The sequence below is a fragment of the Homo sapiens genome, chromosome 5, assembly GCF_000001405.40.
Source record: "Homo sapiens chromosome 5, GRCh38.p14 Primary Assembly".
In the NCBI taxonomy this organism is placed as follows: domain Eukaryota; kingdom Metazoa; phylum Chordata; class Mammalia; order Primates; family Hominidae; genus Homo; species Homo sapiens.
Genome location: NC_000005.10, coordinates 179,157,086 through 179,170,701, shown reverse-complemented (window position 1 = coordinate 179,170,701; position 13,616 = coordinate 179,157,086). Strand labels below are relative to the sequence as shown.

Below are 13,616 nucleotides of genomic sequence, written 5' to 3'. Positions count from 1 at the left end.
GCAATAGGGGACCATGGATGGAGCAGCCAGGATGGGGACTTCCCAGCCAAGATCTGGGGGCAAAAGGCCTAGCTCCTGTGTCCAAGGGAACAGACCCCTTTTGCTCACAGAGAAGCACAGCCAGGGATTCTCGATGGGGCTCTGGGGACAAAGTTTGGCACATGGTGGGGATGAATTCTGATGAGCTGCTCTTCAAGGAACCACAGGCTTCCCGTCAAGGAATGAGGCCCCCGTCTCTAGAAGAATTTTAGCATGGCAAAACCAAGGCGATGGCAGTCAGGAGGGGGCTGAGCTGTCCCCCCCACGGTGGGGACAGACTCTGGGGGATGTGAGACCATGACCCAGACTTGGGCAGAAAGTGGCCCAGATACTCGGTTCCTGTTATTCATCCCAAATTGTGACAGAAATAGACCAGCTCCCCACCTGCCGCTCCCCCATTGCCTGTCCCCCAGGCCTCACCAGGCTCCAGTGGGGATAAAATTGGTAGCACTTGTTTGAGTGACATGTTTGTCTTCTAGCTTATGAGAAGCCTCTGAGTTATCTCAAGTTTTTCCTAAAACAACATTTTTCTCCATTTCTTAAAAAAAAGCAGAAGAAAAGAGATGATCTTATTTTATACAATATACCACCAGCCAGGGAGCAGAGCATCGGCAACACTTGAGGTTGCATAGCAACTGGCTTTTCAATTGATTTTTTGAGAAGGTACCAAAGCTACTCAACTGTTCTCATTTTAAATATTTCCTAGGATGATGAAAATCAAAGCAAATGGAAATCAGAGACTTGGGGAGCATCAGAGAAGGACATAAAGTGTCTTGTTATAAAAAACCAGGTCAAGACAAAGTGTGGAATGCTTGCTGGAATTTTTCAGCATTGGAGGTGAAAGGTCTGAGAAATTCTGCATGTGAGTCTCTTAGTGGAAAGCACGAGAAGAGAGGTGCTGGGGGTGGGGGCTTGGTGTGCCCACCCACCCACCTATAGGGTAGAGGATTTAGAGTGGCCCAGCCATGGTGCAGGAAGGCCAGGAAGTGAAGGTCTGGGGAGGATATATCAAGGGCCCTGGGGATCTGGGACAGGGGATGAGGTGGGAAACACACCCCATGCCTCACCCCAGGGACAGCCCCCTGTCCTCCTGAGCATCTGGGTCCCAACCCCCAACCTGATAGGGGTGCAAGGCATGATGGCCCACCCACATCATCCTCCATCCACCTCCTCACCCAGACCTACCTGGGTCCAGAGAACTAGGAGGCACTAAGGCTGGACACTGCCCTTGGGAGGTGCCTTAGTCTGTTTGGGCTGCAATAACAGAAATACCTTAGACTGAGTAATTTATAACCAATGGAATTGTGTTACTCACTGTTCTGGGGGCTGGGAAGTCCAAGAGCAGGACGCCAGCAGAACTGATGTGTCGTAAGGACCCATTCCTCCTAGAGGGCACCTTCTAGCTGTGCCCTCGCATGATGGAAGGGTGAACAGGCTCCCTCAGGCTTCTTTTGTAAGGGTGCTAATCTCATTTATGGAGACTCCACCCTCATGACCTAATGACCTCTCAAAGACCACACTTCCTAATACCATAACATTGGTTCTCAGCTTTCAACCTTTCAAATGTGGGGGACACAACATTCAGATTCTAGCAGGAGGCCCCTCTTCTGCCTCCCCACAGGCCTGCACTGGCTCATGCCTGGGAAGGCTCAAGTTGAGAATCCTGTTCTGGCAGCTTGGCTCTCTCTGGGAATAGCTTCCCAGGCTTTGGGGAAGATGGCTGGAAACAAAATGCTGGAACGATATGGGAGTTCTGGCAGAGAAATGAGGTGCACGCCTCCTGCCCCAGCTCTCGTGGTTCTCTGTCGTGATGAGATTTGATCTGTAAGCCCTGCCTGGAACAAGAGACCTCCAGCCTTGGGGGAGCCCACTTTGCACTCAGCTGGGGGGCACGGTAGAACATGTGCTCACAGAGCAGGGATGGTGGGACCTTGTCCCTGCCATTCATTCTGGCTTTGTCCATACTCGTGGGACCTTTGGTGAGCAATTTAACATCATGGGGCCTTAGTTTCCCCCATAAGAGGAGGTCTGTGAAACCCCAGCACACAACAGGAATGACGACAATCATAAAGGCGTTCGTGCAAGTGACTGTTTGTAGAGCTTCTTCTGGGACAGGCACCGTCTGAAGCCCTTTATGTGACTTTATGCCCTCACCCCCACAGCAACCCTGTGGAGTAGGCGCTGTGATCATCCCCATTTGACAGTGAGGACCCTGGCTCCAGGGGGCGAGCGGCCTGCCCGGGGCCACACGCTGGTGGAGCCACTCTGCTCTGGGAGGAGGGGCTGGACTCTGTGATCCCGGCTGGTCAGGAGCACCAGCTTCAGGCTCCTTGTCCTGGTCCCCTGAGGGTCAGTTGCTCCCAACCAAGAGTGACTTTGCCACCCCTCCCCCCACCCGGGGGACATTTGGCAGTGTCTGGAGAGACTTTTGGTTGTCACGACTAGGGGGAGGGTTCCACTGGGTTCTGGCAAGGAGTGCCCAGGGGTGTGCTCAACATCCTGCCATGAACAGGGTGCCCGCCTCACCCAACAGGAATTATCTGGCCCCAAATATCTGGAGTGCTGAGGTTGAGAAATGTGGTCTGCTCACCAGAACCCAACCTCCCTGCTGTCCTATCCTGCACCTGTTTAGGAGGCTGGTCTGAGGCAGGAGGGCCCCTCTGGGATGGGGACGGTTGAGAAGCTTTGCTGAAGCCGCATCCCCTTGGGGGCATGAGCCAGCCCCAGCGGGTAGGCCAGTCCCCAGGGACTGGTGTTATACTCCATCAGTATCAACAGCACGGCAGAGACAAGGACAAGGGACATTTGTGGGCGCTGACTGCACCCTGCCTGAACTGTCATGGGCGGAAGCCCCCCAGCTCCAAGCTCGGAGCTGCAGTTGTGCCCATTTTGCAGGTGGGGACAAGTAAGGTAACTTGCCCAAGAACAGAGCAGATGAGATATTTCGGCCGGGCCTAGAGCTGCCCAGGTGACCTCACCTGCCACCTGCAGTGGACTTGGTGAGCCTCGGTCGCGTGGCGGCCTGCGGGGCTGGCTGAGTGCGCCTTGCCCAGCAGGCAGAGCCTCCTGGCGGGGCGGGCGCGGTTCCAGCGGAGGCGGCCTCCAGGCTGCTGATCCCCATCCCGGTTTCCTCCCACGTCTCCTTGACTGAAGGAGGGAAGAGCATAGATAATTCAGCTCCTTCCAGAGCAAACAATGGAAATGTCGGAGAGCAACGATTGGAACAGAACTTTTTGCTCAGGTCATAATTGATGTATTTAGGGTGAGGCCCAGAGGCTGTCTTGGGGCCGCTGGGGCCCCGGGAGCCCGGGTGCGGCCGCGGAGTCTGGGCGCCGGGTGCGTCCCCGGCCCGGGCCGCTGTTCTCGCGGCAGCAGCGCCACCTGGTGGCCGCTCGGGCCCGGCCCTTCCTCTGCCCGCCCCGCGCGGGGGGCAGCACCCCGACCTCTTTCCGGCTGTGGGACTCAGGCGAGTCCTTTCAGTTGTCTGAGACGCAGTTCGTCATCCGGAAGGTAGGAAAATGAAGTGGAAGCGAGGTGTCGTGTGCCAAGCCTGAGCCTAGCGGGGCGCTCCTTGCGGACGGTGACTTCCTGCTGGGGTCAGCATCTGCCGGGGCGGCCCTTTGGGCTCACTTCCCCAGGCCTCCCGAGAACGTCCCCGCAGCCGGCGCCTCCCTCCCTGCCCAGCCTGGCTCCTGAGGGTGCTCGTGTTCATTCCTTCATCACTGAGCGCCCAGCAGCCGGGGTCCTCTGGCCGCGTTCGCTGCCTCATCCTGGCATGGAGAGCAGAAGCCGGGATTGCTCCGTGAAGGGAGGAGTGGGGCTACTGAGGGCAGGCGTGGGCCAGGGCTGGGGCACAGACTCGGGCCCAGCAACCACCCGGCCCTCAAGGAGCTTAGGCTTTAGTGACTCAGAGGCCAGCGACAGCAACAGGCACATCCCCAGTAGGTGCCCCATCTGGCAGGTGACCGATCGCACGCAGGAGGAGGGACCCGGCGGGCAGCTCAGAGCCAGGGTCCCGCGGCCAGGATGGGGCTGGGACTTGGAGCTGGACGCAGCCTACTCGTCCACCCAAGGCCCACGGGCCCCCTAAGCTCCTGGCTGTTCCCTGAGGCCCGTGGGGTTACCCAGACCCCTGCAGGCTGGGCCTGAGGTTCAGGGGCCCGCAGTGTTTCCTCACCCTTGCCCTGGCCAAGCCTCCTGACAGCCCTGGGGAGCATTCAGCAAAGTGACCTTCTGACCCAAGGTGAGGGCCATCAAGCTCTTGCCTCCCTAAGGCCCTCAGATCTGCCCTCTCCACCTCATGGTGGGATCCCTGGGTCTTTCAGGCATGTCCTCAGACCCTTTCCAGCCCGGGCCAGGGGAGCCAAACAGGCTGAACCCGGAGGAAACACCATCCTTCTTGGGACCAGGCTCCCGGTGCTGCTGTGGGAGGGCCCCAGGGGCCTGGACGAGTGTCTGCCTCCTGCATCTGGGCAGCTCTGTGAACCAGCATAGCAAGGAGGGTCTCCATGTGGACATAGGTGGGCACTCATGATGGCCAAGGAGGACCCTGCACTCTGGAAGAGCCAGCCTGGTCCAGGGCCCCAGAGCACTCGGGCAGTGGAGCCCAGTTGGGAGCCCATGTCTGCAGTGGTCGATGTCACCTCCAAACAGGGGTGGCAGAGCCCTCCATGAGGGGTGACGACTGTCCTGGGGCCCCTGTAGAGGATCCGATCAGCCTCTTGGAAGCTCATCTGTTCCCGTGCTCTGAGCTAGGGTCAGCCCACTCAGGACTCCTCCTGCATCCTGGGCTGGATGGGCCCCTGGACTTCATCCACAGCCCTACTGCAGGCTTCTCCCGCCTGGCTCTTCTGGGGCCCTAGGCTGGACCTGGGAGTTCTGGGAGCTGCTGCCGCTGTGAAGAGTCTGCCCTCAGAGGCCCTGCCTCACTCAGGAGGTGGACCCTGCAGCTACCATGCAGCCCCAGGGCCTCGAAATGTCCATCCCCGGTCATACAGCACCATCTACCGCCCCCTGCTCTGGAGGCTGGGTGCCCGCGGCTGCCCCTGGGAGGGACTGGCTGCCCTGTAAAGTCCCTGGCTGGTCCTGCAGCCACCCCCTTTGCAGAGCCCAGGGTGCTACGGCTCACTCCTGGTCCCCCCCTCAGCACAGCTAGGAACAGGTGGAGTCACACAGACAGACTTTCCTAGAGGAGCCGTGCAGAGCCGAGCAGGCAGCTGGAAGTCAGGTGCATTCAGGACTGGGAGGGACGTAGATGACCAGGGCGAGCTGGTGAAAGACTCCTCAGTGGAAACAAGCAGTGCAGCCTCCCTCACTTCTGGAGGAGATCCATATATGAGAAATGTGTCTTCTTCTCGCTCAGGGGAAGCACAGTTCCCAGGCTTGATACATAGCAAGGGCACAGGATGGTGGGGGCTGGGGTGCCCCAGGCAGCAGGGACCCATCTGGCCTCCTGCATGCAGGCCAGGTGGCAGAGGAGCAAAGGAGGTCGCATCCCAGCAGGTGGTCCCGCTGGAGCCCAAGTGACCCACAGGGGAGTTCACTGCATGTCAGGACAGTATCCTTGGCTGGAGGTCTCAGCGGAGAGACCTGAGCTTGGCTCTTCCCTTGGGTTCCGACTGCCTCCAGTAGCGAGGGCCTTGCCCTGTCCACGGCCAGCCCAGACTTCCCTCCTGGGCCGCAGACCTGTCCAGCTGCCCCGATGTCTCTGCCTGGACATCAGTTTCTTTCTGTGAGGAGTCCTTAGAGGCATGCAGAACCCAAGGCTGCCTGTAGCTCTCATGGAGTGGGAGGAGTGGGTGGAGGAAAGGGGGCTCTGGGGTGCATGAGCCTGAGTTTGCGGATGGTTGTTTTGGGTGCTGCCACCAGGCAAACCCACTTCAGCCAGTTTTCAGTCCTTTCGAACCTGTGCTCCATGGGCCTAACATGGGTCCCAGCTACGGCTTGGGACTGATCACCCACAAGGGCTGCACCCCCAGAAGTGGGAGAGCTCCCAAAGCAAAACAGCCCAGCTCTTCCCAACGAGCAAGCTGGCCAGGAAAGACATTGCCGTGACCATGTTTCCTGCACTGCGGACCCCACGCTCTTCCTCTGGCACTTGCCGTCCCCTTCCCGCGCCGCCTCTTCTGCCTTGCTACCAATCCCCAAAGCCAGACACTGGTGCCGTCTCTGCCTCATTGCTCCCGCCCTGCAGCCCTGATGCCTCTCAGCTCCTGCCACCAGGTCCTGACCCTCCTGACGTGGCACCAGCCACACCTGCATGCATCTCAGTGCCACACTGTCCCCTTCTATCCCCACTCCTTCCTCACTGACCCAAAGGGCTGTTTTAAGAATGCACACAGACCTTGCCCTGGCCTCTGGGCACAAGGTCAATGTCTGGGCCTCATGGGTACCCCATAGCCCTTGAATGCTCCAGACCCAGCAAGGACAAGATCTCTGCCCCTGGGCTCCTCTGTGCCCGTCAGAGATAGGCTGGGACCTTGGAGATGTTGGGACGTTGGCAGAGAGAGAGAGGAAGCACAAGCAGCTCTGTGGCTTGTCAGTTAAGCTCCCAGTGGCAGGTTGAGTCCTGGGGTGCCCGGACACTGAGGTAACCCTCTCCTCTACTTCTTGGGGTACCCCCTGCTGGGACCCAGGCTCCCAGGGTCTAGCACACTCTCATGTCTCCTGAAGTCCTGCCTCCCAGGGCTCCCCTGGCCCCAGTGCAGCTTCCCCTCCCTGTGCCCATGCACCCCAGCCCTCCCCTCTGCCCCCTCCTCAGGGAGTCTCCTCAGAACCCCAAAGCCAGAAGGGGGTCATAGACCCCTTTAGCTCTGGACCCTGCAGCACAACCTCCTTGGGGTTGGAGAACGAAAGTGGCAGGCTGCCTTCTTGGACTGGGCCGAGAACAAAGCGAGGCAAGAACAAAAACACAAATCAATATTTCAATAAATTGTCTTGCCGCAGCAGCAAGATCACTTTGGCTGCTAAGACGGGCTGGGAACCCAGGCTGAACCACAGAAGCCAGCATCTGGGAGGAGAGAGGTGATCGGCCAGAGTGGATCCAGTCTGCAGGACGTGGAGAAGGGGCTGCCCACTGCAGGGCTCTTATTCCAGGGTTCTGGAATAAAGTGGTGACGGGGAGGATGCGTTGTTTTGTCTGCATAACTGATTTCAATTTGAGCCAGTGTTTACTATTAGGTAGGTGTCTGTAGAATCCAGATTTCACGATTGACCTGAGAAATCTGATCCAGCAGCTCTGGGCCTCTGTTCCTGCCAGCACTGGGCGGATGTTGCTCCCTTCAGCTGTGCCTGGGCACCTGGGTTTGCCACAGTCCTCGCCACTCCTTATCACCGACCCCCACTCTATTCTAATAGGGAAATATTCCTCTGTACCCTTTCTCCTTCAAAACTGGGAAAACACAAGATGGACTTACTTTTCGTGCAACCAGCCTGCCTCATTGACTTGTCACCTGCCTTGCTCCTGTAGGCGCTTGGGTTTCTAGCATCCTCCCGGTACTCCCCACAAGCCCACACACTAGGATAGCGGACCTCCCTGCACACCCCCAGCCTGCCTCAGCCTGGCTCCTCCCGCAGCTCTGTCCTACACACTAGCCTCATTCCTGCCTCTGGTCCTGATATTGGGGCATGTCTTTCTGGCTGGACTCTTGACTCCTCCTCAAAGACTTGGCCAGGGCCCTTCTCCCACTGAGAAGCATATAAACTGCCCCCAGAACATATCAGCTGCCCCCAGATCAGACGCCATCTTTCATGGGCCAGCGAGTGTCCTGACTGGGGTCCCTGTGGTCCCCCAAAGGAGGAAGCACGTGGCTCAGATTCTCTTCGCTGCAAGTGACAAGAGCACAACTCAGAATTGGCTTTCACAAGGAGAGGAACTTCTTCAGGCATAAATGACACCCGTCAGTGGCAGGCAGCCTTCGTGATGGCCGCCAGTGACCCAGTCTCTTAATGTCCATGCCCTGCGGTAGGCGGGACTGAGATTCTATCAAAAGCAGACTGTGGCTTCTGTAGGGGAGGTGCCTTCTCTTGTTGTCTCTTGGGTCCCTCGAGCAGGGGCGACCGTGTGGGGTAAAGCTGACATGGGTGACGGCCCCAGGAGGGGCCCATACGGTATGGTGTGCAACAGCTCAGCTGGGGCCCGCCGTGACCACCTGAATGAGCCTGGGAGCTGACCCGCCTCCGGTACAGCCTTCAGATGAGACTGCAGCCCCAGTCTTAGCTCGACAGTGGTCTCATCCTCCTTTAATCCTTGGTGGGGGGTCTCCTGTAGTGCAGGGGGGCTCCAGCCGCTGCAGGCCCCCCACCTCACACCTTGCCTACTCCTTGGCCCGCTTTGGTTGTATGTTCACCCTGATCCTTCATGGTGGCCAGGAAGGCGTGGTGCTGGGATTGGCCAGGCCTGCCTGCCCCTGAAGCCTGGGGTCTGACTCAGATTAAAGGAGGGGAAGTTTCACGAAAGGGAAACAAGGGCAGGCAGAAGTCACCGCAACCCACCAGGGCATCGGAAGGGACCGTCCCACTACATGGGGCTTAGGACCCTGAGGGCAGGTGAGTTCATCTTGGACAGGACTCCCTTGACACTGATGCTGGGAGACGTGCCCTGGAGGAAGCAAGGCCCCTTTCCCTGGAGCCCAGCAAGGCTACCGAGCTGTGCTGGGTGTCCTGGATGGAGACACTCACACTGCAGCAGGGGCCCTGCCACCACCCTAGCAAAAGCGCTTATTAGTGACCTTTGTGCTGACCCTCTGATTTGGATTTGGACTGGCAATTTTTAAAAAATGTATGTTAAAAAGTCATTCTTGTTTGGTTTTTGATTTTGCTCTTACTGTTATTTTTAATTGGCATGTAATAATTGTACATATTTCTGGGGTAGGGTGTGATATTTAGACACGTGTATGCAATGTGTAATGATTACATCAGGGTAATTAGCATATCTGTCACCTCAAACATTATCATTTCTTTGTGTTGGGAACATTCAAAGTCCACTCTTCTAGCTATTTGAAAATGCACAATACATTCTTACGGATTCCAGGCGCTTTCCGGCACTATAGGGCACTAACGCTTATTCCCCCATCTTGCCGCACTTTTGGATATGTTAACCAGCCTTGGCAATCCCCAGCCCGCTGCCCCCCACTCTCCAGGAACTACTCTCTATTTCTGTGACATCAACTGTTTTAGCTTCCACGTATGAGTGAGAGCGTGCAGTATTTGTCTTTCTGAGCCTGGCTTATTTCATTTAGCATAAGGTCCCCCAGGCTCATCCATATCTGGGCTGCCAATCTTAAGTTCAGCGAGTACAACCAACCACAAGGCCCACGCTCTAGCACCGAATCACATCCACCCCGAGTTTCCCTTCCTTCTTGTGCCATCCCAAGCTCACCCCCTAGCTGGAGACAGTGAGAAGGGACATTCTTTCGCCCGATTCCTCCTTCAGAACTGTGACCTCTCAAGGCTACCCAGAGGCGGATACTACCTGGCAGGGACTCGAGATGAGCTGCAGGGGTCAGGCTTGGATGTGATGCAGATACCCACTCCCTTCCTCCTGTATCAATTATAGTAGGTGAGGTTATGCTACAGAAACAAACACACTTTGCATCCCAGTGGCTTAAAACGACCAAGATTTCCTGCTCACGCTGTATGTTCAATGTGGGTTGGCGGAGGATTCGGGTCTCATCGTCACTCAGGTCCTAGGTGACAGAGCAGCCACTGTCTTTATGTTGCCAGATCTCGTGCCAGAAAGGAGAGCTCTCTGAAGGGTCTCAATGGGAAATTAGATGCTCCAACCGAAAAGAGACATGCCCCACTTTTGCTCACAGCTCATTGGCCAGAGCTAGTCACATGCTCTTCCTGGTCATGATGGGAACAGGAAGTGCACCTCCCCTTGCCCTCCTCCAGCTTCCTCTGGTCTGTCCACTTCTATGCCAATGTCCCACAAGTCTTAGTCACAGGACATCACACTCTGATTTATGACTTATTTCATCGGGACTCATGGAAACCTTGTTAGAATGAGTTATCTTATCTCCCAGGAGCAGGAAATAAAGTCTTTACAATTAACTCTGTGCTTGGGACTTGGGAATTGGTCTGCCATCTTGTCAGTCATTGACTGGGACCCCTGGGAACGACTTGTCTTACCTAGCCTTGAATTGTGCTCCCTTCTTCTGGAACTAACTGGCTTGCTAACAATACCCTTTGTTGTTTGTTTTGTTTTGTTTTGAGACGGAGTCTCACTCTGTCGCCTAGGCTGGAGTGCAGTGGCGTGATCTCAGCTCACTGCAACCTCCACCTCCCGGGTTCAAGCGATTCTCCTTCCTCAGCCTCCCAGGTTGCTGGGATTACGCCACCAAGCCAGACTAAGTTTTGCATTTTTAGTAGAGACAGGGTTTCACCATGTTGGCCAGGCTGGTCTCAAACTCCTGACCTCAGGTGATCCACCTGCCTCAGCCTCCCAAAGTGCTGGGATTACAGGTGTGAGCCACCGCGCACGGCCAACTTTTTGTTATTTATAGACACAAAGAGAAATACGTGGCTCTACTTTGTGGATACATTTATGCAAGAGAAAAAACACCTGCATACGTAGCTTCCAAGGAATGCACATCTCTATTTTATGGCCAGATAAATCCTTAAAGGGGAAAAGAACATGCCCAGGACTCAGAGGGGCTCTCGGTTCTCTTGGAGGGAACTACTTCGGTGTTTGGAGTCTATGGTGAGAACAGAAACCAAAATGCCTGCTGTGAGGATTGTGGAGGAAAAAAGGAAGGGTGCCGCTCACAGAAGCCTTGCTTTTGAAATGATATTGTGTATGTCTTATTTAAGGAGGAAGTTTAGGGCAGTGAGTTGAATCTAGATTTTGGTTTCAGCCTTCTTGGGATCCGATCTCAATTCTCCTACTTCCTAGTTTCATGACCTGGGCAAGCTTCTTAACTTCTCTGAGTCTCAGTTTCCTGTCCAAGACAGGCTTCTTAGTCCTGAAGTCTAAATGGGAGTGCCTGCTGATGTCATGGTGCAGAGAGAGTGTGCAAGACGAGCGGTCCCGAGGCCACCCTAGCTGTCAGGTGTGCGTCATGATACAAAATGGAATGGGATGGTTCCCGGGGGCTTCCCATGCATAGTTCCTGTGGGAATCATCTGTGTATGCCCTTGTTCTTGATATGGCTGTTTTTCTATTAGGTTGATGCCAAAGTCTTTGCCATTACTTTTCATGGCAATACTGCGATTACTTTTGCACCCACCAAATATGTCAGTTGCTGTTTCTTTTCCTCCATTGTGTTGGTTTCTGCAAGTACCTTCACACGGGGGGAACGTATAAGGTGATCTGCTTCCTCTGGCCTTGCACACCACACTGGAATTTCCGCCTCCCCTGCCACGGACCCTCCCAAAACTGTGAGCTCTTTGGGGTGAGGTCCACATGACATTTGCCTTCTGTGGAGGCCTTGCACGGAACAGGTGCCTCATAGAACAAACACAGGGACTTCTGGAAATGGGGTAGACGGTGGGACTATGCGAGGCCTTAGATGACGTAGAGCTTGGCTTCTGCATCTCACCTGAAAACTGCGGTGACTTTGTGTGGAAACTCACGCAGGTGAGTGTGACTGGGGAAACTTTTCTTCCCTGTCAAAGACTGGAGCCCAGTGGGAGCAGGTCCTGAGAGTGACCGGGCAGGGCCTTTGTACCACCTGGAACAGATTCCCAGTGGATGGGGTCTGTCAACACTACAGCCTGCTCGGCCCCCCACTGGGCCACCAGGCGCCAACCTCTCTCTTCCATTTCTCTCCATCCCCCTGCAGTCCATGAGCCTCATCGAGATCGGGAACCCCTCTCAGAGCCTGGAGAATGTCTGCCGCTGGGCCTACCTCCAGCAGAAGCCAGACACGGGCCACGATGAATACCACGATCACGCCATCTTCCTCACACGGCAGGACTTTGGGCCTTCCGGCATGCAAGGTGAGCCTCACCCATGCAGGGCCACAGAGGCGTGAAGCTGGAAATGAGCCCCTGGCCATGCAAGGGGCCCCGGGAGCCTTGGCCCAGCCCAGGGAAGAGTGTCAGGGCAGGGAAGGCCGTGGCCACCTTAGCTGGGTGAGGGTGTGGGGCAGTGCACTGATGGACAAATACATCATTAGAAGAGAATCCAGTGTCCTGAATTGGACCTATGTGTATAGGGACGCTAATGTGTCACAAAAGTGACATTTCAGAGAAGAGGAGGAAAACAGCCTAACAAATGGTGTGGGGCCAATTTGGAAAGAAAGGAGGCCTGTCACCTCCACTCACTCTATAGACAGAGAGCATCTCACATGGATTTTAGGTCTAAATAAGAAACGCAAAATAATGAAAGAAGATAACGTAGGTGGATGGCTCCATGTTCTTGGAGTAAGAGATGTTTTCTTTAAAAAGAGACAAAAGGCCGGGCGCGGTGGTTCACACCTGTAATCCCAGCACTTTGGGAGTCGGAGGCAGGTAGATCACGAGGTCAGGAGATCGAGACCATCTTGGCTAACATGGTGAAACCCCGTCTCTAATAAAAATACAAAAAAATTAGCAGGGCATGGTGGCGGGCGCCTGTAGTCCCAGCTACCCGGGAGGCTGAGGCAGGAGAATGGTGTGAACCCGGGAGGCGGAGTTTGCAATGAGTCGAGATCGCACCACTTTGCTCCAGCCTGGGAGACAGTGCGAGACTCTGTCTCAAAAAAAAAAGAGACAAAAAAAACCAAACAAACCATGAACTCAATGGAAAAAACTGATAAATAGTAGCACATTTCAAAAGTTTGTGCATTAAAGGCACGCTAATCCACTGGGGGAAATATTTATAAAAAAGGATTTATATCTGAAGTATGTGAAGAACGCCTACAAATCATAATAAGGATAATAAAGACAATCCAGTCAGATAATGGGCAGGAGACTCTTATCAGGCTCTTGACAAAATATGAATGAGCAATAAACATATGAAAAGGCACTCAACCTCACTAGACATTGGAAAAATGCAATTAAAACAATGAGGCTGGGCATGGTGGTGGATGCCTGTAGTCCCAGCCACTCGGGAACCTGAGGTGGGAGGATTGTTTGAGCCCAGGAAGTGAGCTATGATCACACCACTGCACTCCAGCCTGGGTGACAGAGCGAGGCCTTGTCTTACAAGAAAAAAAAAAAAGGAAAATTTAAAAACACAATGAAATATCAAGACGCACCTAATAGCATAGCTAGGTTAAAAAGACTGAAACTACCATGTCTGGGTGAGGAGTGGATAGCTCCCCTCAAACACAGCGCAGCCAGGTGTTGCCCTGACCATGTGATGAGAGTGCTGTTGGCTGTTTTGTCTTGGGGAGGGCACTAATGGGGAGCAGAGCTATCCCCTAGGAGGGGAAACCGACACAGCTTTTATATTAAGTGACCTGATCCCTCATTTAAAAATGTGAAATTGGCTGGGTGTGGTGGCTCACTCCTGTAATCCCAGCACTTTGGGAGGCCAAGGCGGGCGGATCACTTGAGGTCAGGAGTTCGTGACCAGCCTGGCCAACATCTCTACTAAAAACACAAAAATTAGCCAGTGTAGTGGCAGGTGCCTGTAATCCCAGCTACTCAGG

At 55.0% G+C, this 13,616-nt stretch overlaps 1 protein-coding gene across 4 annotated transcripts in view, besides 2 other annotated features; it reads left to right on the top strand.

The window, feature by feature from the left end:
* The window catches only part of ADAMTS2 (ADAM metallopeptidase with thrombospondin type 1 motif 2), a 234,609-nt gene that overhangs the window by 174,760 nt on the left and 46,233 nt on the right, over positions 1-13,616 (top strand). For all 4 annotated transcript variants that reach the window (NM_014244.5, XM_047417895.1, XM_047417896.1 and 1 more), the window contains one exon: positions 11,823-11,979. In NM_014244.5, coding sequence (NP_055059.2) covers positions 11,823-11,979 — 157 coding nt within the window. The remainder of the gene's footprint in view (positions 1-11,822; positions 11,980-13,616) is intronic.
* Positions 3,113-3,614: an enhancer, noted in NCBI's record as "H3K4me1 hESC enhancer chr5:178594089-178594590 (GRCh37/hg19 assembly coordinates)". NCBI's record gives its function as "activates a minimal SCP1, AML or CMV promoter by ChIP-STARR-seq in primed H9 embryonic stem cells {active_cell/tissue: H9 hESC(primed)}" and the evidence as "EXISTENCE:reporter gene assay evidence [ECO:0000049][PMID:30033119]".
* Positions 3,290-3,499: a silencer, noted in NCBI's record as "silent region_16728". NCBI's record gives its function as "represses an Ori minimal core promoter by ATAC-STARR-seq in GM12878 lymphoblastoid cells {active_cell/tissue: GM12878}" and the evidence as "EXISTENCE:reporter gene assay evidence [ECO:0000049][PMID:35858748]".